The sequence below is a fragment of the Homo sapiens genome, chromosome 9, assembly GCF_000001405.40.
Source record: "Homo sapiens chromosome 9, GRCh38.p14 Primary Assembly".
Classification (NCBI taxonomy): domain Eukaryota; kingdom Metazoa; phylum Chordata; class Mammalia; order Primates; family Hominidae; genus Homo; species Homo sapiens.
In genome coordinates this window covers 4,298,253-4,324,650 of record NC_000009.12, presented here as the reverse complement: position 1 = coordinate 4,324,650, position 26,398 = coordinate 4,298,253, and the positions used below count along the sequence as shown (strand labels likewise).

The window sequence follows — 26,398 nt, the reverse complement described above, 5'->3', positions numbered from 1 at the left end:
CAGATTGACCTCAGTCTCTTTTTGAGAAGATATTTCAGAATCTAAATCTGCTGCCAAACTTATGTGCAAAAGGAAGAGAAAGAGTTTGAAATCATCAAGGAAGAATACGAATCATAATAATAACTACCATAATGTAACTAATGTGTATTGTCTCTTATAGTTGACAAAGAACTTTTCACCTGTTTTATCTCATATGGTTCTCAAAACAATCCCGTGAGGTGTCTAGGGCAGATGTTATTATTAATACCATTTTACTGATGAAAATACTGAGGTTGAAAGAAGTTAAGTAACTTATCTAAGATGACATTGAAAATAAGTGGCAAGGGTCACAACTCCACATCCTCTGCCTATAGGAAAAGTCAGCATCCTAAGCTCTCAGCCTCACTATGAAGTGATCTTTAAAATAAAAACACCAAGTTTTATGTAGCCCATTTTCAGAAGAGGGCACAGCATAAATAAAGATAAAGTGATGGGAAATTATTATGCACAGTTTAGGGAACACAGAGTGCAGCTTTTCTAAATATGAGTTATGTGTGCAGGAGTTACATAGGGTTGAGATGGCATATTGAGACAAGCACCATTTTCAAAGAAGAGTTAACGAAGGTGAGTAAATGAACAGATGTGAAGGGTCCCAAAAAGACCAGAAACAGACCTAATATCAAAATTTTTGAAACTGAGTAAATGAAAGAATGACGATGGTGCTAAAAATATAACAAAGTCATGCAGAGAAAGTGGTTTCAGTTACTTATTTCTTAATATGTTTAGTTAGATGTACTGAATAGTAGAGATAAATGCTTCTTTTCATGATTCATTCAAACAGCAACTTCTGCTGCGCCCCTATGATGTGCTTTAGGCTGAGGATTTAATAGCAATCAAACATAGACATGGTTCTGCCTTTAAGGAGCTTCCAGTCAAGTGGAGAAGACAGATCCCAATCATGCAGATGTGAGGCTGCTATGGTGGTAATGACCACAGAGGAGACATACATGATGCTTTGAAGGTCTATAATAAATAAGGGGGTCTGACCTAGTTATGAAGGTCAGAAAATATCTCCTGAGGAAATGATGCCTGAGCTGAGATCTGAGAGGTAAGTAGGAGTTAAATAGGTGAAGAAGACAGAAAGCATTGCAGGCAGGAAGGCATTCACATAATGGAATATTACACAGTAATATAAATGAATGAATCCCTGCTACACACAGCTACATGGACGAATACAGACAACATAACATTGGGTGGAAAAAAGCAAGTTCTAGAGACTATACACAGCATAACACTCTTCTTATGAAATTTAAAAGCAAGGAAAAGGGAACAATATGTTGTTTACATATATAAATATATGTGATAAAACAGCACTTTGGGAGGCCAAGGCAGGCAAATCACCTGAGGTCAGGAGTATAGTTTGTAGTATAGTTTGATATCACACATCTACAACTATCTGATCTTTGACAAACCTGAGAAAAACAAGCAATGGGGAAAGGATTCCCTATTTAATAAATGGTGCTGGGAAAACTGGCTAGCCATATGTAGAAGGCTGAAACTGGATCCCTTCCTTACACCTTATACAAAAATTAATTCAAGATCCGTTAAAGACTTAAATGTTAGACCTAAAATCATAAAGACTTTAGAGAAGAAAACCTAGGCAATACCATTCAGGACATAGGCATGGGCAAGGACTTCATGACTAAAACACCAAAAGCAATGGCAACAAAAGCCAAAATGGACAAATGGGATCTCATTAAACTAAAGAGCTTCTGCACAGCAAAAGAAACTACCATCAGAGTGAACAGGCAACCTACAGAATGGGAGAAAATTTTTGCAATCTACCCATCTGACACAGGGCTAATATTCAAAATCTACAAAGAACTTAAACAAATTTACAAGAAAAAATCAAACAACCCCATCAAAAAGTGGGCAAAGTATAAGAGCAGACACTTTTCAAAAGAAGACTTTTATGCAGCCAACAGACACATGAAAAAATGCTCATCATCACTGGTCATCAGAGAAATGCAAATCAAAAACACAGTGAGACACCATCTCACACCTGTTAGAATGGCAATCATTAAAAAGTCAGGCAACAACAGATTCTGGAGAGGCAACAACAAAAGTGGAGAAATAGGAAGACTTTTACACTATTGGTGGGAGTGTAAACTAGTTGAACCATTGTGGAAGACAGTGTGGCGATTCCTCAAGGATCTAGAACTAGAAATACCATTTGACCCAGCAATCCCATTACTTTGAGTAATATACCCAATCCTTTGAGTATATACCCAAAGGATTATAAATCATGTTCCTATAAAGACACATGCACACATATGTTTATTGTGGCACTATTCACAACAGCACAGACTTCGAACCAACCCAAATGTCCATCAGTGATAGACTGGATTAAGAAAATGTGGCACATATACACCATGGAATACTATGCAGCTATAAAAAAGGATGAGTTCATGTCCTTTGTAGGGACATGGATGAAGCTGGAAACCATCATTCTGAGCAAACTATCACAAGGATGGAAAACCAAACACCGCATGTTCTCACTCATAGGTGGGAACTGAACAATGAGAACACTTGGACACAGGGCGGGGAACATCACACACCAGGGCCTGTCGTGGGCTCGGGGGATGGGGGAGGGATAGCATTAGGAGAAATACCTAATGTGAATGACTAGTTAATGGGTGCAGCTCACCAACACTGCACTTGTATACATATGTAACAAACCTGCAGGTTATGCACGTGTACCCCAGAAATTAAAGCATAATAATAAAAATGAAAACAATTATCGGGTGTGGTAGTGTACACCTATAATCCCAGCTACTCGGGAGGGTGAGGCATGAGAATCACTTGAATCCGGGAGGTGGAGGCTGTGGTAAGATGAGATCATGCCACTGCACTCCAGCCTGGACAGTGAGACTCTGTCTAAAACAAAACAAAACTGCCAATAAAAATAAACACAAAATGCAGAGATGGTAGTTACCTTTGGAGGAGGGATAGCAGAGAAGAAATGGGAGGTTCACAAAGAGACATGTAAGTTATTGGTAATGCTCTCGATACTGGGGTGGGTGGGTGGGGAGTTCTGAAATGTTCATTTTCTTATTTTAATTACGTAAATAGAGAAGACCATGCACTGGGTAATTTAATAGCATAACATATACCAAGGATTATGATTAATCCAGTTCTAGGCACCTGATTTTTTTTTTTTTTTTTTTTTTTTTTTTTTTTTTTTTTTTTTGAGACGGAGTCTAGCTCTGTGGCCCAGGCTGGAGTGCAGTGGCGCCATCTCGGCTCCCTGCAAGCTCCGCCTCCTGGGTTCACGCCATTCTCCTGCCTCAGCCTCCCGAGTAGCTGGGACTACAGGCGCCCGCCACCACTCCCGGCTAATTTTTTTTGTATTTTTAGTAGAGACGGGGTTTCACCGTGTTAGCCAGGATGGTCTCGATCTCCTGACCTTGTGATCCGCCCGCCTCGGCCTCCCAAAGTGCTGGGATTACAGGCGTGAGCCACCGCGCCCGGCCTTGAGATTTTAAAAAAAGCGGAGACCATGCTGAGTATTGGGGACTTAAAAATTAGCAGGATGACTGGAATAGAAGAGCAGAGGAGGGAAAGGTATGAAATAAGGCTGCAGAAATGGCTGGGGTCTAGACCAAGCAGAGACTTACAGCCTTCTCAAGCAACGTTCTTTGTATCTCGAGAGCTGTGGGAGCCATTGAAAAATGCTCAAGCAGGAGACAGACTTTCAAAACTTGCATTTTGAAAAAACTTACCTGCCTTCAGTGTAATGATCAGATTGAAGAGAGACCAGAATGAATATGGATGGACCGCTTAGGAAGCCTTCTTAAGACATAATACAATGTTGGGTGCTTGGAATAGTGTGGTGATGGTGCTGAAACCAATAGCAGTGATAATGATGGTGATGGTTCCCGGGGTGCTGGCAGTGATAGTAGAGATAGTAGTAGTGGTGATGTGGTGATGGCGGTGGTGATGATGGAGGTAGTGATGGTGGCAACAGTAATGATGGTGATGGTGTAGGTGGTAATGGTGGTATTGGTAGTGCTGGTGATGATGATGGGTTTTGTGTTGGAAATAGAGAGAAACAGACAGATTTGAGAATATTTAAGAAGTAAAATCTACAGAATTTAGAAATAGATTTGATAGATGTATTGACAGAGAGAAAGGTGTGAAGGATAAATCCCTAAGTTTCTGGCTTGGCAATAAAGTGGGGATGGGTCAGGAAGGGGAAAGTAAGAGTTCAGTTTGAGGCATGGTGAACTGAAGATGCCTTTTCAGTCCCACCTCCTTCTCAACTCCCTTCCAGAGGTGATGGTCTTACTTTCCTGTTTATTCTTTATTATCCAAAAGTCAGCTCACAAACTCAAATTCTTTTAGGGGCTAGTCAGGCAACTGGAGTGAATGAAGCATGCAGGGTCAGGGAGACATTCAGAGACATTCAGAATGGAAGGGAATTTGTTGACCTATAAAAAACATGACATGTCAAAAGTGGGGTGGCTGTGACTCAGATACGCCCATTGGGAAGTCAAATGTTGCCAGCTTTTGATTTTTCAAAAGAAGCTGAAAATCATGATTTTTATGTTTCTTACTTAGCAACTAATTTGACTCTTGTGCGCGCGCACACACACACACACACACACACACACACACACACACACACAACCCCCTCTACTAACCTACTGTAAGGACCAATTCTATAGGCCGAACAAAACAAATCTGTGAGCCATGCGTAGACAGATTAGAATTCTGGTTCTAAATCATTCATTAATATTAGTTTACTCATATTACTGATCAAGTATATTTCAATAACGTTATTGGGGTAGAAATTTTGTGATAACATTTTAAGAGGTACTAGTAGGAGACTGAGGTGGGAGGATAGCTTGAGGGCAGAGTTCAAAACCATCCTGGGCAACATAGTGAGACCCTGTCTCTACCTCCCAAAATAAAATTAGCCAGGCGTGGTGGCAAACACCTATAGTCCTAGCTACCTGGGAGGGTGAGGCAGGAGGATCACTTGAGCCCAGGAGTTTGAGGTGACAGTGAGCTATGATCATGCCACTGCATTCCAGCCTTGGTGACAGAGGAAGAACCTGTTTCTAGAAAAAAAAAAGTGTTAGTATTTGGATTTTACCAAAACACATTACACAATAAATTTTAAAACATTTAAAAATGTTTAAAATCATTTCTTAGAAAAACGTCAAGTTCTCAGAAAAGTTGCAAGAATAGAATAATGAGCTTCCATGTACCTTCACCCAGATTCACCAGTTGTTAACATTTTGCCACATTTGAGTTCTGTTTCTTCCTGCTCCCCCATCTGGATCATTTGAGAGGGAGCTATGGATATAATGGCCATAAAATTTTAGAATGTTGCCCCTAAGTACAGTGATATTTTCTAACATAACCACAGTATGATGATCAAATTCAGGATTAATGCAATACCATTACCTAATATACAATTAATATTCAATTTTGTGATTTTTTTCTCATTCAGAATCCAGCTGAGATCACTCATTTCATTTTGTTGTCATGTATATTTTGTCTCCTTTACCCTAGAATGGTTCCTCATGTCTTTCATGACATTGACATTTTTGAAGAGTACAGGCCAGCTGTTTTACAGAATGCCCCTCCAATTGAGTGCTTGATCATTTCCTTATGATTAGATTCAGGTTGTGCATTTTTGGCAGGAATACCATGTAAATACTGTTGTGTCCTCAGCAGCTCACTCCGGGAGGCACATGATGTCACTTTGATGAACCCACTGTACAGGAACTTCCCCCCTTTGCAATCAGCAAGTAATCTGTGGGGAGATATTTTGAGGCTCTGAAAATATCCTGTTCACCAACAAACTTTCACCTAATAGTTTTAGCATCTTTTGAAGACTGTCATCTTCATCTGTTATTACTGCAGAGGCTGCAAGTTTGTGATTTTTAAAACAAACATTTCTTCTATGTTTGTTAGTATTTCACTGTAAAAAAGAGGTTTCTCTTCCCCATTATTTACTTATTTATATATTTTTTTATCTCTGTGTGAACATCTGGACTCTTTTTGCTGCCAATGTTTTATAACTTATTGTTGTTATTTTGAAGCTAAAATTGCCCATAATTGGCCAGAGGGAGCTCTTTCAAGCTGGCTCCTATGTTATTTTGACACTGCCCCTTATATTTTTGAGGGTTTACGTTCTGTCACAAGATGCTTACGGCTCGCTTTGTACTTTCCCTGCCCTAGTCCTGGAATCAGCCATTTCTCCGTGCTTCCTTTTAGTGAGGGATGTATTCAGAAACGAAACTCTGGGCCCTAGGTGTGCTCACGACTACTGAGATGTCATTGATTCTAGGTGCTTTCAGTGAACAGAACTGGGAGATATACATTTCTTTAAATTTGTGGGTTCATCCTGGCCCCTCGAATTCCCATCAAACACCAGATAACTCTTCCTTACCTCCCCACTTTCCATCATTGTAACTGCCTTCCACCCACCACTTCTCCCGCAGCAAGACCCTGGCTCCCAAGAATACCAATACATTTGTTCAAAGCATGCATTTTAAAGCATGCTTCCTCCTTTCCCAGCTGCTGAAATAACTTACTTTGACATTCCTCAGTTTCTATAATTTTTCTAGTTGCTTTTCTGACATTATACACATGTTCTTTCTAAGTCTATCTTCACAGAGATTTTACCATGTAGATGTGCTTTTTTAATATTATTTATCATCAATCATACAAGGAACAATTCCCTTGGCTTGAGTAAGGCTGAAGAAGGTTATTGATAATAACTTCCATCTGCTTGGCAGCTTAAAGTTTACAGAGTACTCTTTTACATGTGCTACTTCATTCACTCTCAATGGTTTGAATTCTTTAGGTCCCAGACAAAATGAACAGTAAATAAATTCTGAGCTTCATGAATGTTTCACATAGTAGGAACTTGAATAATGCCTGCTCATTTTCTTTCTCTTAATTTTTTCTGTAGACCACCTTTGTGATCAACCTGCTGATTTTTAAAAAAGATACATTTAGAATCTATGACTAATGAAAATAGGTATCATATAAAAGGATGAATAATCGTAAGCAATACGTAATCTAAAATGTTTTATACTCACTTTAGCATTTTTTGCCATTGTTATTTCATAGGGATTTTGTGTCTTCTTTAGACTGATATTTTTAAAAAGACATCTGCTTCCTAAAGACATACCAATTACAAATGCCTTTAAAGCAGTGGTTCTCAAGTGTGGCTGCAAGAAGAATGTCTCGGGAAATGTGTGTGGAGGCTGCATCCCACAGTGATTAAATCGGAATCTTTAGGGTAGGCATCAGTACTGTAAAAAACTCTCTGGAAGATTTCACTGAGAAGCCAGTGCATGGGTAAGGAAAGGCTGTGCTAAGGATTGATGATGGCAGCTTGGGTCACAGGCTAAGTACAAGAGAACTTGATCTCCACCTCATTTCTGATGTAAAGACCGGTACTTAAAGTATGCAAGAATATATTTTGAGCTTAACCTTGCAGTCGAAAGGCACTGAATACATTCTTTCTTTTTCTTAGCCAATAGGATATCAAAGACCATCTTTTCTTTACTCTAAGTGCCCTGCTCAAGCATCCTCATCTTTCAACTAGATTAATCTCCTTGAAGGGACAGCAAGTCTTCACTTAACATTGTCAATAGGTTCTTAGACACTGTGACTTTAAGCAAAACATATTAAAAAACCAATTTTACCAACGGCTAATGGATATAAACAAGAGTTAAGTTCCTATGATGGTTTTTCTGGTCACAAAAACTTCTTCTAAATAAAGATCACCAACACTTCTCATATTAAACACGGAAATAAATTTGAGCTATGCATACATTTTTAAAAGATTAATAAAAATAACTAAGATAATTATGTACCAGCTTATTCCAGTTCAGGGTTGCAGATGGTCGAAGCTTATCCCAGCAGCTCAGGGGGCAAGGCAGGAACCAACTCTGGGCAGGCTGCCGTCCCATCTCAGGGCACACTCACACACATGCCTACGCTTACTCACACTGGGACCATTTAGACATGCTGATTCACCTAGCATGCACACTTTGGGGTATGGGTGGAAACCGGAGTACCCAGAGAAAACCCACATAGACATGTAGAGAACATGTACACTCCACACAGTGAATCTGGCCAGGAACTGATTTTGTTTTTCTCATCAATGTTATCACAAAATGATGTTGAATGAAATGATGATATTTAAGGACCTGCTGTACTACTCTGTCCCTAGCAAGGAGTAGGAGCTGCTAAAATATCTGTTGACTTGCAATAAAGTCAGTCCAGTTAAGGACCCACAAAAAATGAATATGTATTTTAAATGCAAAACAAGTTGTGGGACCTTATGGGAGAATCTGTGAAGGGGTTATGTGAGCAGTCACTGGATTTGCAAAGGTAGCTAGATGAGTTTAATGATTATTCTTTACAATTTAGCTTGTAGGAATCCTAACCTCTCTTCCAAAACCAGAAAAAGGTGGAGAAATCTTTTTTGTTGAGGATAGACTGACAGTGGCATTAGGAGAGGTGTGTTGGTGTGATGTATGCTTCATAAAGGGGAATAGCATATACATACATACATAGATATGCATGTATTTAAAATTTCCATTGTGATCATCCCAGATAAATATGTGTTTTCTTTTAAAAATACAATATGTAATATCCTGCTTCCTTTCTAAAATTTAGAGTAGCAGAGTTTTGTGAACAACTTGGTGTTTCAGGGCAACAGCATCCCAAGAGGTAATACGAGATATCTGCTCTAAGAGGCCTGCATTCTAGAACCCCATACCTGGAAGAACATGTCCTGGTACTGCTGAGCTAGGGTCAGGGCTAATGCTGGGGAACGGGCGCCACCTACTGACGGCCCAAGTCACTCTTTCTCCTTCCAGGAACCTCCCTCTTGGGTTTGGTTAAGAGCAGTATCTCAAGAGAGGCTGGCCCCAAAAGACCCAGGGAGGTTGTCTCCAGTCCCCACTGTGTTTTGCAGGAAAGTTCATGAGAATGTAGCCACACAAAGTGAGGTGTTCTGAGTGTATGTCTTCCATGAAAAGAGTTTTCCATGGAAAACTCTATTTCTAAGGCATGTAGGCGGCAGAGGGTGAAGTTTAGGAATTAACTCTGTTTTAGAAGGGTTTGAATCAATTTAAAGGCTTTAAAAAATAGAGGTTCATTTTATTTAAAAATAAAACTTTAAACTTATTATTAAATGGAGAGCATACAGAAAATTGTCATTGCATATAGAGTTTTAGAACATGGACTGAGTGAGCAGGCCTTGAAATACTAACAATAAGGACCCCAGAGTCTCCCGGCAAACCATTCAGTCTCAGGCTTCTTGTGTAGGAGATAGGCATGATCACTTGTCCTCTCAACATCATGTTGGGTCAGCTTGAAAAGTGCACTAGAGACTGACAAGATGACGAGATTTGTTTCTTCCACTAGGAAATGCATCTGGGACACATGATTTTAAGTGTGAGAAAGGCCACTTCCCAAATTAACTGAGATCCAAAATTAGACTCTTTCTCTTCTCTTTGGTGGGAGTTGTATCTCCGAGAAAAGACACTCTGGTTGAGTCAGTACACAGAAGAGCAGGAGAGAGTGGAAGGACCACAAGGGAAGAGAGGAAATATTTCTTCAGTAGCTATAGAATGGCTTCACAAGCTATGGTCTTGGCAAACTGGCTTTCGGGGCTTCCCATTTTCACCCTCAGCAGCTCTGAATCCCTGAGAGTTCCAGCACTATTCATCCCAAAGGAATAGAGCTAACAGCAGGGTTCGCTGGGTGCCCGGCCCTGAGCTTAATGCCTTTTGCAGATTGGTTCATCCATTCTCCCTACAGCCCTATGAAGGCTCAGGGACAGAGGTTAAAGGAACTTGCCCAAAATCCCAGAGCTAATGAATGAGAAAGCTGAAATCTAAACCCAGTTCTGCCTGGCTCCAGAAAAATCAGTGTTCTTTTTCATGTGAGTTCTGAACCTCTCATGGTGGCTTTTCAGAAACTGCTAGTGGAAGCATCTTGGAACTAGAGAAGATATGAAAGATTCCGTAGCTGTCTCTTTTCTTAGTAGAGGTTTACCCTGCACTGTGAGTGACAGAAGATCCCTTACTTTCTTTCTTTTTTGCCTGAAGACCACATAGCATCATCAAAGTTCTAGACTGCCTTAAATGGAAAAAGCAGTATTTACCTATTGACTTCATTGTATATGCACATGCAAACATATTGTGTGCATGCATCTTTTTTTGCATGGAGTGGGGAAGTTGAACAAAGAGTAAGGACACTGAGGAAACAGAGAGCATTGGGTGGCAGGTAGCTACACAGTGCCAAGACATGCAGCCTGGGAGAAAGAGCACTGGACTGGAAGTCAAGGGTTCTTGATTCTAATTCTGATCCTGCCATTAATAAAAAACAACACCAGCTCACATTTGAGTGCTTACAATGTATTAAGTATCATTTCACACATTTTATAAATATTAATTCACTTAATCCTCATGACCATCCTATGAGATAAGTACTATTACTATTCCCACATTGCTGCTGAGAAAACTGAGGCACACAAAGGTTAAGTTACTTGCCCCGGGTCACACCAGCTAATAAACGCTAGAGTTGGCTTAAACTCAGGCAATATGGCTAACTACATTTTTATGTAACGCCATCTCTCAACTACCTGATTTATTGATTTTGTCAGTGACTCTTTCTGGACTTCAGTTTTTCCCATTTACACATTTATATTTTTAACAAATATTGAGGCCCAAGCCTGTGTAAGACCTTGTAAATCAGATAGAGGTGTAAAAGACCATGCACGCTGATCACCTACCTCCTGCAACACACACCCAGTGGAAAATGCAAGGGAGAGGAAGTCCACGTGCACTTGAGACTCCCAGGGAAGGCTGCGGGAGGAGGTGGCATTGGAACTTGATCTTAAGGTGGGAGACTGGTCCAGGAAGGGCATCTCAGCAGAGGTAAAACTCAAGGTGTGTTTGGAGACTCTAGTAACTAGTCCATTTTGACTCAAGAACAGAGTATTGGGCAGGGGATACTGCCAGAGAGAAAAATCAAGGTCCAAGATCAAGGAGTCACATCCAGGACCATTAATCTGACAACTGCCTGTCAGCCAAATTTGTGTGGGGAGAGACTGGAGGCCAATGGAGCCACGCGGAGGTTAGAGAAATGGTCTGGCTGAGAGAACTGAGGACCTCAAGTTGGGTGGTGGGAGGAGACGGGTTCTGAAAAATGGAAGCTGATGCCAGAAACATCCAGAAAGCAGGGAAGGTGAGATGGAGAGGGGGAGGTGGCACAGTGAGCAGAATGGCTGAAGAGGGAGCAGCAATGGCTGAGAAAGAAGACAGCTGCTCAAACTAAGATCCCTGTGGGCTATGGAGGCAGACACACTTGCCAGAGTTAATGGAGCTGTGCGGAGGAAGCTTAGGGTGACACTCATTAGAGGAGTTTGATGACAGCTACACCTACTATGTGCCAGGCATTCTGTATGTCCAACCTCCACCTCCCATGTTATCTCTAATCAACAAAAGAGTACTGTTACACAGGTATGTGGAATTCAGTTTGAGGCTTTTTTGTCTTCCCCAAAGAAACAGCATAGCATAGTGCTAAAAGGACAGACTCTGAAGCCACAAGACTGGAAAAAGTAGAGGAGCTACTGTCATTGTGTATCCTGGGGAGGTGATTTAATTTTTCTGTACCTCAGTGTGTGCATGTGGGGCTAACGTTACCAACCTCGTAGTGTTACTGTGAGGATTAAATGAACTAATATATGTAACATGCCTGGCCTGAGTAAGCACCTGAAAAATGTTAGCTTTTCCTATGGATGAGTAAACTGAGGAGCAGAGATTAAATGATCTGGCTGAAGACACAGCCCTCAGGGCTGGCATACCCAGCTCCACCAGCCCCAAGGCCTCCTTCAGTTCCACTAAGCCACAACGAAGTGAGCAGAGCCATAAAACAGAGAGGGAAAGGATAGAAAAGGCCTAAGGTAACAGCATAGTCAGGTGAAGAGAGGAAGACAAGGAATGCAAGTGCAATCAAGAAGAAACTGGGAGGAAGAGCAGATTTGTTTTTCATATGTATAACTATACTGTACATAATTTATTGGCAAAATTGGCATGTATGTACATGCATGCTCATATGGGTGCCTGTTTATGTGTACAACTGGAAAGTTTTTTTCTTTTTGAGACAAAGTCTCACTCTGTCACCCAGGCTGGAGTGAAGTGGTGCCATCTCAGCTTACTGCAACCTCCCACTCCCTGGTTCAAGTGATTCTCCTACCCCAGCCTCCCCAGTAGCTGGGATTACAGGTGTGCACCACCATGCCTGGCTCTTCTTTGTATTTTTAGTAGAGATGGGGTTTTGCCATGTTGGCCAGGATGGTCTTGAACTCCTGACCTCAAGTGATCCGCCAGCCTTGGCCTCCCAAAATGCTGGGATTACAGGCGTGAGTCACCATGCCCAGCCTGTAAAGTTTCTTTCTTTTAAAAAAACAAAAACAAAAACAAAAACTTTTATTTTAGGTTCAGAGGTACATGTGTAGGTTTGTTATACAGGTAAACTCATGTCATGCGGGTTTGTTGTACAAATTGTTTTGTGACCCAGATTCTAAGCCTCGTACCCAGTAGTTATTTTTCTCTGCTCCTCTTCCTCCTCCCACTCTCCACCATTGGGTGGACCCCACTGTCTGTAGTTCTTCTCTCTGTGTCCACGTGTCCTCATCATGTAGTTTCCACTTCCAAGAAGAATAGATTTTTAAAGGATCTTTTCTGTTTTCTTGATCATTTAAGTAAAATGGGCTTACTCTAAAAATGAAGACATCATCTAACTGAATTCCTGTCACCTAACCACTTTCCCTGCTCCTGTCAGACGACCACTGCTGACAGTCTTTAAACATACAACTCAAACTCCCAGGACAAGACAGTGTTTTATAGAAGGCAGGGGAGGTGGCTCTAAAAGAGGAGGGCGGTGATAAGGCCGATGCAGGAGGGTCAGGGCCACCATGTTGCTGTTGGGGAAGACAGATGGTGGAAGTCAGGGTAGGGGTAGGAGCTGGGGAGTGTGGAGTTATTCTGGCTTGGGAGGGAGGGAGAGTGGGCCCTGACAGTTGCAGGGGTCGGAAACTTATTGTGTAATGGATTTCTCTGGGAGTCTGGTGAAGCTTGTGGACTGCTTCTCAGAGTAAGGTCTAAAATGAAATACATGGGATTACAAAAGCTAAACACTTTATTTAGTTACTTTTTTGAGACAGAGTCTTGCTCTGTCACCTAGGCTGGAGTGTAGTGGTGCTATCTCAACTCACTGCAACCTCCACCTCTCCAGCTCAAGTGATTCTTTTGCCTCAGCCTCCCAAGTTGCTGGGATTACAGGCATGTGCCACCACGCCCGGATAATTTTTGTATTTTTAGTAGAGACGGGGTTTCGCCATGTTGGCCAGGCTGGTCTTGAACTCCGGGGCTCAAGTGATCCGCCTGCCTCAGCCTCCCAAAGTGTTGGGATTACAGGCATCAGCCACCGCGCCTGGCCAAAAGGTATACACTTCTATCCACAGACTCCTTAGCATTAAGAACTCCTGCGAAGACACTCTGGCTTTCGGATTAGGCACTTCTATAAAGTCCCCATCCTTAGAAGTTGCCCACTGCCCTCCAAATCCTGTACACCTTGTCTGTATTGAAATCTGAAGATGCACCCTGAATGCAGAATGGGTCCAAATCTCTAGCTTCAGACTACGATTTTAGACAAAGACCTACCTTTGGGTGATTTAGATGCCCTAAAATGTAGAGAAGTGTAAAACATCAACATCACCACCCCCATTTACTTATTTCAGAAGGATGTGGGCAGAGTGGAAAGTGCTTCAGAGACTGTATGTGCTGATCAAGTCCTCATCACCTTCCCAAAAAATCCTCCTAAGACCCAAGAGCGGGTAATCCTGGGTGATTGGCTCATTGTAGGAGGTCCTTGGTGTCACACATGCTTGCAAGATGGCTGGTGTGTGTCCTCATGGGGCTGGATCTGTTCCCCCCGTGTCTGCACCTTCAGACACATATAGTTTAGCTTTGGAGGCAGGGAGGGGCACTGCAAATGTGATTCGGCACTGAAACTAATGGATGTATTTGGGGTTTAGGTTTGCAAATGAAATTCAAAAAATCGGCAGTGACTCTTCTTGGACCAGGTGGAGAGCAGGAAGAAGGCCGGCAGCAGGTGTGGCTCGGGCAGATTGGAGAGGCACAATGGGGCACGTTTGCTAGACAAGTGAGTTTCTGAAATTTTCTTTATCCCCCATTCACTCGGAAACTGGCTGAGTTTGCCTAAGAAGTCTATCAATACAGTATAGAAGAGGGATTATACCTAATAATTTCATTTACTGTTCAATTATATTTTTATATATATTTCCTGGGCCACATGAGCATGTCAGTAAGAAAAAGGCCCATCTACCCCTTGCCCATAGCTAGATGTGAAATTATCATACCAACTACATCCATTGTTGGAAGTACTATTTTGGGTTGGCCCTGTGTAATGTGAAATGAAGAGAAAAAGTGTGTAGCAGAATCCTGATATGGAAATCCAGACTTAAAAACATTCTCTGATGGTTTGGCATCCTCAGGATAAATTGGTCATAGTTTTCAACAACTCAGATCAAAGCCAAATGCTGTTTGCGTTCAGACAGTGATTCAGGGACCATGTCTTATTTGGTTTCTTTGAAAATATAGCACAGACATTTTTTTCATACCTTTGAGAGAAATCTTTTGGCCGCCAAATTTGTGCATTATAAATTTTATTGTACTCTAATACAAAGTTCTACATCTTGTCTCACATGTCTCTTTCGGAGTTATCCCAGCGCTTCTAAGCTGAGTTGCTTGTTGCAATGATGATCTCCTGATGTCATGTGAAGAAAAAAAAAATAGGCCAACTGGTAAAGATAAAAAATAAATGAGAGTAAATAAAACACATATGGAACTTCTACTTTCAGAGTTAAAATGTATATGAGTGTGTATGTAAATCAGTCATCAAAATAGAAATGTAGACTGGGCCTGACTTAGGCACAATTATAAAGTAGTAAGTTTGCCTTTTGTGGCCTTTTATTCCTCTGACCTGGGTATTTTTTCATAACCTCCACCCCTCTCCTTTTTTCAGCCTATTTTATGACCTTCTGTAACCTGTCAGAATTGTCCAATTTGAGAACCCACTCAGGACTCTTCCTTATGCCACACAATTCCTGTTACTTATACTGTGCTCCCCCCGCCCCAACCACTGCTTAAGACCTTTGTTCATAAGTGGAAATTGTTTAAATGACTTGTTTTTTAAAAAAGTATTAACTTACAGCCAAGTCTTAATTTTAATGACAGGTTATATATATTTTTGAATTATTTCTTGCTTTTTCTTTGTTCACTTAACAGACTATTGAGTGCCTATTATGTAGACAGCAATGGCTTTGGCTGGAGGGAATGACAGGAGAGTGCAGTTGTAAACGAGGCACGGGCATATACACAAAAGGTTGAACAGCTTGACAAGATAGAGTAACAATTCGGAGATGATGCAGGCTGATTCTGTTTTATCTTAAAAAATGCTTTTATCATACATTATGTGTGGTAGCCACTGTTCTAAGCACTTAACAAATATTAACTCAGTCTCCAAAACAATGCTGTGAGGCAAATACCTGACTATATTCATTCTCCTTTTGCAGATAGAGAGACAGGCACAAAGAGCTTAAGTGACTACCCTAAAGTTGCTCAGCTATTAAATGTGGAGCCAGGACTAAATCCCAGCAGTTTGGCTCTGGGGTCTGGGTTCTAAAATTGTCTCAATTCAGCCTCTCCAGCTGCCAAGTGTGAGACCTAGACAAGGGCTTTGAGTTTGACTGTAGGAGCCATCCCAGGTGAGACAAAGAGATCAAAGAGGGCTTTATGACAATGGTTCTTCACCCTGGCTGCCCATTAAAGTCTCCTAGGAAGCTTATAAAGAGTCCTGATGCCTAGATCCCATCCAGGCTGATTAAGTCAGAATCTCTGGGGGGTGGGGCCTGGCAAGTTTCCCTGGGTATTCTAAGGAGAACCCAGCACTGAGAGCCACTGCAAGGAAGAGGCACTAGGACTGGATCCTCAAGGCTGGGGGAGATCTCAGGGAGGAGGGAGGAGAGGGTGTTCAGGTGGGAGATGGGTGGGGGCAGAACAAGGTCCTTTCTCTTCATTCTCCCTTCTCCTCTTCGTTGCCACCCTAGCTTCTGTGTCCTCCTCCAGCGCCCTTCCTTCCTTCTCCTCTTCTTTGACCCTGTCTTCCTCCTTCATTCCTTCCCTCTGTTTTCTCACCTCCTCTCCTCTGGTAACCCCTTTATCCTCCTCCTCCCTGCATCCCCCTGCTGCTCTCCTCTTATTTCTTCTTTCTCCTGCCCTTCCTGTTCCTTCCAGTTCATGGGCTGTGGGTCCTTTCACTTCACAGTGCCTGTCCTTCCAGCAGAAAGTGGGTGGTGGCAGGGTTAAGGCTTTCAGATAGGTCGTGACACCAAGCCACAATGCTCCTGGAGAAGCTAAGGGAAGGATGGGATGCACGTGGCCAGGCCCCAGATAGTATCAAGAGCATTAAATACTGTAAGGACAGTGTTCTGTGAGAGCCCAGAGCCAGCAGTGTTTGGTTCTGGGGGAGAAGGGAGAGAGGAAAGTTGAGAAAGTGCATTACTTTTCTGTTGCTGCTGTCACAAGTTACCCTAAATAGCACCCTAAACAACCCGCAATTCTATCTTACAGTTTTGTAGGATAGAAGTCTGACACAGGTTTCCTTGGTCTAAGATCAAGGTGTGGCAGGGCTGTGTGCCTTTCTGGAGGCTCTAGGAAGGAATTATTCCATTGCTTTTCCAGCTTCTAGAGCTGCCCATATTCCTTGGTTAATAGCTCCTTCCTGCACCTTCAAACCTGGTAACATAGTTTCTCTATGCTTCTGCTTCCCTATCACATTCATAATCCAGGGCTCACTTCCACAGTCCAGGATAGTCTCCCTACTTTAAGGGCAACTAATTAGCAACCTTAATGCCATCCACAGCCTTAAGTCCTTTTTGCCATGTAATCTAACATATTCATAGGTTCCAGGAGTTAGGATGTGGATTTTTTTTTGTTGGGATGCAGGGCGGGGCCGGGGGGACATTATTCTCCCTATCAGAGAAAGCCTCACAGAGTAAGAGGAGGTGGATAGTAAAGGTCATCCTGTGGAGATAAAACAGCAGGCTTGGGGGCTCTGGAGGGTTTGCAAAGCAGGCTTTGAGGAACTACAGGAAGTTCAGTATCACGGTAGCGTCGTATAAACAGGTCATTACATGTATAATTTATACAATAGATCTTGTTCTTAAATTTTACATAAATTATGTTTATCACATATCTCATCAACATGTATTACAATTAAGCATACTTTATGGAGGCAATAGAGTGTTACAGCTAAGAGTGTGTGCCCTGGAGCCAAGGGAGGCTGCGTCCTCCTCTCACCTCCACCACTCATTAGCCTCTACACTGTGAGAATTAAATGAGATCAAGAATCTTACGTACTTTGCTCAGCCTGATACATAATAAGCCCCTAATAAATGTGAGTTGTTATCATTGCCATAACTAAACTGTGTCTTAAACAGATCACTCATAACTTGCCACCTTCACTTTCTCCTTAATGTCCACTTCTTGCTGGAAGGAAAAAGAAAGCAGTGACAGGGAGAACATTTCTGACTTACGCAATCTGCTGAGATAACGTTATTATCAAGTTCCAATTGTCTAACTGTTGGGCCCTAAATTCAGTCTAGAATCTAAGGACTCTCTACTTCTGTTGCTTATATCAGCAAGGGGTATCTATAGCTAGAGTTTTAAATGGCATTTAGTTATGAAACAGAAGACAGGAAAGCATGGGGGTGGGGAGGATGTTCAAGGATGACTGAAACTTTCCAAGGTAGGAGTCATAACAGCAGCAACAGCAAAAAGGCATGAGACTCAGAGATGCCTGGGCAGACATTTCTCTATGATTCCTTCTCTATTTCTGAATGCCATTCCAGGAAAATCTGGGTGCCTCTGTTTTATCTAGGAATGAGAAAAATCCTATTTCAGTAGGAATTTGGAAATGAATGTATTTCCTATTAGGTGCTGAATTCTGGGGCAACATTTGTTAACCAGTAACTGAGAACATGTAGAAATGGCCTGGCTGTTCGAGGCAGTTGTCTGACAACCAAATGGATAAACTACTCTATCTGACCCTCACAGGGTTGACTAGCTGGTCTGAAAGCGGGCATTGTGTAACTACTAGGGAAATGGAATTTCTCTTGCATAATATTAAATTGACCAAATGGTAGCAGGGTCCTGAAGAGAGAATGAGCCATAACTTTACCCTGAAAAACCCACAGCCTGGGCAACATAGCGAGACCCCCCTGCCTCTACAAAAATAAAAGAAATTAGCTGGGCACGCACCTGTAGTCCCAGCTCCTTAGGAGGCTGAGGCAAGAGGATCACTTGAGCCCAGGAGGTCGGGGCTGTAGTGAGCTATGATCACACCACTGCATTACAGTTTGGGTGATAAAGCAAGATCCTATTTAGAAACAAAAACAAAAAACAACAAAAAAGACTAAAATGATGTCATAAAAGCAAAGTATAATATTTATTAGGTGGTGAGCCCCTTGAAGTTTGTCTTGCTTATCTTTGTATTCATGATGGTAACTTAATACCTTAGGTACCTCTATAAGTTGCTGTAATTATTTGTTTAAAAATTAAAAGGCATTTACTGACTTGTACAAATGAAAAAATTAAGAGGTCAGGTAGAAATCAGGTGTGGTTCCATCAGGGCTATTCTCTGTAATCTTCTCCACCCTTCCCTTCACCAAGTGTGAGCCTTCTGTGTGGGCTGAGAGGGAGACAGTTTCACTTTTTTTTTCTCTCCACAACACAGAGGAGAAAAGGCTACCTTTCCAGTGGCTCTCTAGAAAGAAGAGAAGCTACCTTCCTCAGAAGCTATCAAATAACTTTCCTGTTCACATCTCATTTAGCCCAAACTGGGTTACATGTCCATTTTTTAACCAATCCCTATGGCCAGGGGAATGTCTTGCACGGATTGACTTAGGCCCAGATTTATGAGCCATTCACTTTGACCAAGGGAGTGAGATTCCTCTCTGAATCATCGAGCCCATCAGTGGAGCTGGGGCTGGGGTCAATTTCCCTTGAAGCTCTTGGGCTGGGCTCCTTATCAATAGGGGATGCCCCTGGTTTCACACGTGTGCTGGCCAGTGTCACAATTCCGATTCAACCTTTGCAATAACTCATGTAGTGGAACTGAAGTTCCCCGTGGTTTAGGAACCAGCTCAAGGTCTCTCGGTTAGCGGTGAAGTTGGGATTCCAGGTTTTCTGATTCCAAAGTCCACTCTTCTTCCAACATACCACCTGCCTGAGTGAATAAACAAATACATGTCTGGTGGAAGTAGGGTTTCCTGCCCTGAAAAGGTAATAGAGCAATGGTTAATAGGTAGAAGTTTGGCTAGTCCCACATGAGTTGGGTGACAGTGGGGAGATATTCCACCTCTCTCTGCCTCTCTTTTCTCATCTGTAAAATGGAAGTTGTGCTAGATCTTACCTGATTCGGATGTTGTGAGAATGAAGTGAAAAAAAATGTAGATCATGAGCTTGGGGCAGTGTCCCCAGCCTGAAGGAAGTCAACACTCTTACCCGGGGCAGGTCTGCTTTGGGGGCAATTGGTCATTTGTTCCATGGACAATAAAATTACACTCTTCCCTGCTGTATAGGGTTAAACAAGAAAAGAAATGTGTATACACGTGAAAATCTCCTGAGTGCTTTTAACATCGTAAGAAGTTAGGATTTGTGGAAAATCTCCAAGTTTTTTCAAACCCCTTTGCAGGTATATTTAAGACTTGAGGTGAGTTGGGGAGGAGTCTGAAAAGCCACTGAATTGCTTTTGTTCCAGAGCTTAATTCTGCCCCAAACTAACTAGTTGCTCTCAATTATTCTGAGGTATCAGTGCTGCGCTGCCTTCTTCATTTCCACTAGTTTTTAAATAATTCACCTTCTTCTCTGCACCCTCGTTCCCTATTTTCCATTTCTTTTCTTCCCTTTTCTCCCCATTATTTAGTATATATTTTTATTTTGAGGCTAGAATTCAGGGTATGATGCAACTGACCTGGTTTAGTAGTGGGTGTCAGACAGGAGAGGGTCACTGGAGCAGGGCGCAGACAGGCTCTCCTCCTTATTCTAAGCATTGCATAAAGTCTTTGAATTTTCTTCCTCAAGAAATAGGAAGCAATATTTAAATCTTCAGTTTATAATAAAAAGCCTAGGGGTACAGAAAGCTACTTCATATCACATTGTAGGAAATTATTCCTGCCTCCTTCACACTCCCTACACACTAACTGTGCTCATCTGACATTGATAACAAGACGCCTTGTACTTTGTATACTTGCAGTGTGGTTTGCACACATTCAAAGAGCATCTGTTAGTCTCTTTTGGAACACTGAAATGATTATACACATACATAACAATGAGTTGTGTCATTTATCATCTCTGAAGGTGAAGAAACCATTCTTTCATTCTCTCATTAATTAATCCATTTATCAGATTAGCATTAGTTACTTACTAGTGCCCAGTACTATTGCTAGGCCATGAAAGGCATATGAAGAAAAGTAAGTTATGGTCATTAAGAGGCATTTATAGAAGGTAGTTATAGATAAGATGGCATTGTGATTAGATAATTAATTTTACAACATCACATATAGTTGGCCAGTATAGATGTTAAATGGTGAAAGAATAACTGGCTGCCTGCGGAATATTGTATTTATCTATGAATTTATGTTTGTTATGGTAAGCTCTTTGTAGATATACCTAAGTAATATGTCAAGGAATACATCATCAACCTTTCTCTGAATTTTAGATACATCTCAGCTTGGTTTGTATAAAAAAGGAAGAAACATTTCACCAATTAGACAAGATTGAGAGATATTGTATGGAGTGAAATATTTGAAATTTTGGTCAGTTGCATTTGGTCTGACACATTTTAGACTCTGATTTACAGTTTTGACTTTAGAAAGGAAAAGAGGTATGATGTTGTGAATGCGATATGTGTAAATAAGAATTTTTTAAAAAATTACATCACTGACATGTATGTGAGCCGAAGAGTTTGGGCTGAACATACTTGTGACAAATTAGTAGAAAAATCAGCTTAAGTTTTCTTAGTATATCACACACTGATAACATAATGTGAAATTTGCTGCATTCCACTATTTGTACTACTCAGGAAAGTAAAATGGAAATTTTCCATTTTACACATTTAGTTCCCCCCTTAAAGTTGGCAAACACTAACTTTTTCCACTGCATTTCTACGTAACTGGACTGTTGCCAGCTCGTGTGTGTGTGTGTGTGTGTGTCTGTGTTTTAATAGCTAGGCATACTATCACTGGTGCTATTAGCTCAACTTATCTGTATTTTGGGGTTCAAATTTGTTTCTTTTCACGGACACTTTGTGGGAGGAGGAATCTGATCATAGTTCTTTGCAAGTTTGTAAGTGGTTTACTGTCAGAGCACTCAGGGTGACTCAAATAGCAGTTCTGAAGTTTTGCTGTCAGGATGTTCCTTCGGGAGAGTTTCATTGCTGTGAGACAGTGGATGTTCCTATTTTGTACTCTAGCTTTGAGTGAGCTGCTTGCTATGCAGGACTTATGCCTTCTGTGCCCCTTTTGATGCTGATTCCTATACTTGAAATGGTCTCCTTTGCTTATCACTTCTCTACTCATTCTTTGAAGTCCAGCTCAAACAGCCAAGCTACTCCATGTCACATTGCAGGAAATTATTCCTGCCTCCTCCACACTCCCTACAAACTTCATTGTGCTCATCTAACACTGACCACAAGATGCTTTGCACTTTATACACCTGCAATATGTTTTATACACATTCAAAGAGCATGCACAATTATTCTGTAGTACAGTAATGTTGATTGAACTTGGGGCTTCTAAACTGGCATACTTGGCTCTGTCTCTGACTCTCTTTAACTGTTTACTGAGCTTCAACTTCTTTGCTTCTAAGTAGGAGATTATTCATAGCCACATCATACATTTGATTTGAGAATTAGATGAGGTAATATATGCAAAGAGTCCCCATTTCTTGAGGGTTTGCTACAACTAAGACACTGGGCAAAAAGTTTTCTGTAATATCCTCCCATATACAATGCCTACAAGTGTTAATTCCTTTAGTCCCAATACTTGGACAGAGTGTGTACTCACTGAATATTTCTCTGATGAATGAGAACTGGACTGGAGCTGGCAGCAGGGGCCTGTCTGCTGAGTCAGCTGCCCTGAGTCAGCGGTTGAGGCACATACAACACTGGTCTCTAGAGAGGGAAGATACTGACTGGGCTGCAGTTCCCACCTATCTGGCTGAAGGGCTGCCAGAGTATGATTCCTAAGCACGATGGAGAGCTCATGGGTAAGGGAGAGTATCATTTTGGAACTACATGATTTCCTTTCTCACTGTCTCTCATTACCACCCTCCCTCACCCCTGCTGACCAATTCAGCCCAGAAGAGGTACAGATCTCATTCTGAGTCATTCCAGGGTTGTACTGGTACAAGAACAACTGCATTTTTACTATAACCCATGGAATATAAGAACATTGCAGATCTACATTCTTGGCCAGAAAAAAAAAAAAAGAAAAAAATTCAACCAAAGCACTATACCTCTTCAGTGGTAAATATTTTAGGAATGTTAGAGGTTCATGAAAATCACACCTAAATAAAATGACATTCCCACTCTTGGGCTCTTATAAATGAAGAGATTTTGGGGATCTCCAGGTTGATGACTCCTAACTTTCCCAGTGTTTTTTTCCATGAGCTATTGATTAAAGTTGGGTGTAGCACTATATTTTTTTCTCTTCCAGCTAAGCTGTTCCCATCATTTGGGAAGTTTTAGAAGCTTCTGCAAGCCCCTAGGATACCATTCTATGCATCAAAACCATTGTATTTAAAATGATATTTGAGGGACATTGGAAAGGTTTTTTGCAGTCTCCACCCAGGCTTGTCTTGCTCCTGGGAAGCAGTTGTACAGCACAAGAATCTGATGAACAGAAGTTCCCATGATGCATTGAAGGGTTAGTGTTGCCATCTTGCTCTGTTCCTTAAGGCTGGAGTTAATGAGGAAGAGTTTTTATGTGAATGTCAGGCATGTTGCAATAACTAGCCACAATGGAATAGTCATGGCAATTTCCACCACTTGGTTTCTTTGTTTTTGTGATGTTGCTGCATGCTTCATTTTATGAGTATTTTCTTTTCTTACGTGTGGTTGAGCCCATCTATTGCCATCTTGGGCTTGAATACTTGTATTTAAAAGAGATGAACAGAGAGAAACTGGAAAACTGACAGAATGACATATCCTGACCTCTTACTATTTTTCATCCCCTACTTCTGCTGACAAATATTCTGATGAGTTTGTGTCCCAAGGTGAAGGAAAAGAAAAGAAAAAGTACTGTGGAAACCAGGCTTCTTTTGGTTATGTTAATATCATGGATACAGACCAAGCCTAGTAGTATTCCCACTGAAATTAGATAAATGAAAACTGCCAATAGTCTTTTAGTTTTGGCTTTCTGGGGTAAGTCATTTGTGTCCTTGAGGACTTCTGTCTTGATCAAAGCATCTACTACCTGATTGCTAATTTATATTGGAGTGGTAACAGTAGAATAGAATATAAGGACTTGTGAAATTCTAAGTGTCTGGTGGCATCCTCACTCATTTCATTCATGATGGTGAATAATACTGTCAACTGCAGAAAGGCCTACCTGGAGGATATTGTGTGCATTACATACCTAGATTCCCAAGATGGAAGTCCTTGCATCTGTGGCAATACATGTGATGAACTACTAGGAGCAGACTTTCTTGTAACAACCTTTTGAGGGCTCTGGTCAACACAAGCAGAAGCGGTGGCGAGTCAGAGCTTAGGTGGGGTATGAGGCTGAGGATGTTGAATTCATAAGGATAAAGTGCCACTTTATAGACGTAACATACGCAGGGAATATACCTCCATTCTTAACAGCCTGTGTTCAGAATTTTATACCCTTCTAACACTTCCATCACCTTCCTCTCTTCCCTGCCTATACTTGGAAAGGATGCCAAAGCCTTCCTTAGTGCTTCACCTATCCAGTTTCGAAGCTGTCATGTGCATCCGATCCGATATTTCAAAGCAACCCTTTTGCCATTTTTCACTGTGTTATTCTCTCCGTATTACTACCGGATTTTTTTGGTTGTTTGTTTATTTTTTTATGACCTGACATCAAATCCTGTCTAAACACTAACACTTTTTCATGTTAAAATAAGTCAGTTTAACAAATAAGGCCAGGAAGAAGGCGAAGTGTCTCCCTGCTGTTACCCTGTTCTGGAGTTCCTCGACTTCTGGCGCACGGGGAGTGTGTGTGTGTGTGTGTGTGTGTGTGTGTGTGTGTGTGAATGCGTCAAGAGGGAGACACAAGCTCGGCCTTCGAATTGGCCAGCCTAGTGACCCGCGAGCCCGCCCCCACTCTTCCCCCTCCCCCTCCGGCGCTCACACTCAGGAAGCAGCTGGCTACAGGCCGGCCCTCGCGGCCGCACACACATCCACACTCCTCGCCCGGCTGCCTTCCTCCCTCCCTCTTCCCCCTTCCCCTCTCCCTGCAGCCGCGTCCACACTGCGCCGCCCGGGCAGCCCAGAGCGCGGCGCGCACGGGCACCGGCGGCGAGTGCCGCGGCCACTGCCCCTCCCGGGACCCCCTGTACGCCGTCCGCGCCGTCCAGGGTCACACCGGCGACGGAACCCGCCGGCAGCAATTAGCCAGCATCCCGGGGTCGGCCCCCAGAAGCATTCCCCGGCCCAGGACGAGGATGAACAGGACAGGCGAGGCACAAAGTCGCAACTGAACTTTTTAGAAACATTATTTGTGTGTGTATGTGTGTAGCAGGGGAGAATGAGCTGATGCCGAGGGTCCAGCCACCCCGCCTCTGCCTCCTCCTCCCCCTGCCGCCGCTGCCCTCGCAGACGCGCGCGCACACACGGCACTTGGGCCGGGTTTCCGCGCTCCGTCCCCCCGTTTGGATGGGGGTTTTCATTTCCGAAGGAGGCACAGCCCGCGGAGCGCTCTGAAGGGCTGGAGCCCCAAGTTACTCCTCGCCAGCGCCGGCCGCCCGCTGTCACTCGCGCTGGCCGGCCGGGGGAAGGGACCCGCACGCCGGGCTTTGTTGTGGAAATCCCGGTTACCTGGTAAGTGGATGCCATAGGAACTTTGCTCGCAGGCGAGAGACGAGGAGAAACCGGGCGCTTGAGAGTGTGGGGGAGTTAAAGCTCAGAGACGCAAACTAGGGATTACAAATAGTTTTCTACGCTGAGCCGGTGGCGTTCGCGCGGGTTTAAGGATACGCGCACCTCAACTCCCGGCGTCACAGGTCACTGAGAGACCTGCGCTGACTGAGACTGATAGCAACAATTAGGGTTCAAACCATGTTTCTGTCAGTGGCCTAAGAGCGCCCAGTGTAGAAGACAGATAACGGGGCTTTAAAGTTGCGCTAATTCGGAACAGTTTTTGTGTTTTCATTTCAAGTAGAGCGGGCAGAGGGGTACACAATCAGGGCACGTTACAGGACGCACGGGCATGGGGCGCACCACTCTGGAGTCCCCACTGAAGGGAAACTTTGGCGAAGTGGGAACTGATGGGGTGACGTGAGGTCTCTCGCGCACACGCGGGGCTGTAGTTGTCTTTTCAAGTTCCACGTGTTTGTGGAGTTTCACGAAGGCTGTTTTCCACGCCTGTGTCTCATCCAAGCCGGTGTCCCCATGATTGCGGGAGGTGGTCGGGCTGAGGGTACCTACACTCCTCGCGGGTACCGGCCCGGCGATCCGCAGCCGCCAGGTCTGGAACTATAACCTCCCACGCCGCCAGGACGCAGACACAGCCAGACACGAACCCTCCCCGCCGGGTTCGTCACCTCGCGTTTACATTTTTTATGGGGCCCGACAAAATGTCAGCACTGTTTGGAAAATGTCTCAGTCTCGGAGACGTTGTCCTGCGCGCGGCTCCAGTCCCTATAAATGACCCTGTGTGTATTTTGAAGTCGGCCCGGGTCGCTCTCTGGAAAGCGTGAGTGAGCCGCCGGCTCTCTCCTAGACACACACCTTGCCCCGAGCGACAGTTCCAAGTTACTCACTGGAGCTGACAAGTCACCTCGGGGACCGGGAAGTCACTCAAGTGTCTGGAAATCTTGGCCCTGGCTGATTTGTCATCCTATGGATGATTCAATTAGGTACCTGGCGGGAGAAACTTTGGGGAAGGGTTTCTGGCTCCGCGTTCGCGCCCTCCGACTTGCTGGAGGTGTTTGGGAGGCGAGAAGCGAAAGGAAACCACAGGGTGAGGACACTGGCTCGGCGGGGACCG

General features: G+C 43.0%; 1 protein-coding gene and 1 long non-coding RNA gene across 18 annotated transcripts in view, besides 1 other annotated feature; one reads left to right on the top strand and one right to left on the bottom strand.

Moving 5' to 3' along the window:
• GLIS3 (GLIS family zinc finger 3) overlaps positions 1-26,398 on the top strand; it is a 666,339-nt gene that overhangs the window by 165,815 nt on the left and 474,126 nt on the right. For 9 of the 17 annotated variants that reach the window (NM_001438912.1, NM_001438909.1, NM_001438908.1 and 6 more), the window contains exon 1: positions 24,583-25,230. The exons of 1 other annotated variant lie outside the window; for it this stretch is intronic. The gene's annotated coding sequence lies outside the window, so the exon portion shown is untranslated. Of the gene's footprint in view, positions 1-13,483; positions 14,251-24,582; positions 25,231-26,154; positions 26,372-26,398 lie in introns of those variants that run through there. 7 more of the 17 variants (XR_007061257.1, XM_047422892.1, XM_047422891.1 and 4 more) reach the window with 5 other exon arrangements.
• Positions 14,757-25,350, bottom strand: GLIS3-AS2 (GLIS3 antisense RNA 2). The gene is made up of 4 exons (NR_186824.1): positions 25,228-25,350; positions 19,259-19,395; positions 18,429-18,546; positions 14,757-14,908 (listed from the first exon to the last, which is right to left on the bottom strand). It is a non-coding gene; the product is annotated as a GLIS3 antisense RNA 2 (long non-coding RNA).
• Positions 19,168-19,462: an enhancer, noted in NCBI's record as "tiled region #3194; HepG2 Activating DNase matched - State 8:EnhW". NCBI's record gives its function as "activates a minimal TATA promoter and a strong SV40 promoter by Sharpr-MPRA in HepG2 cells {active_cell/tissue: HepG2}" and the evidence as "EXISTENCE:reporter gene assay evidence [ECO:0000049][PMID:27701403]".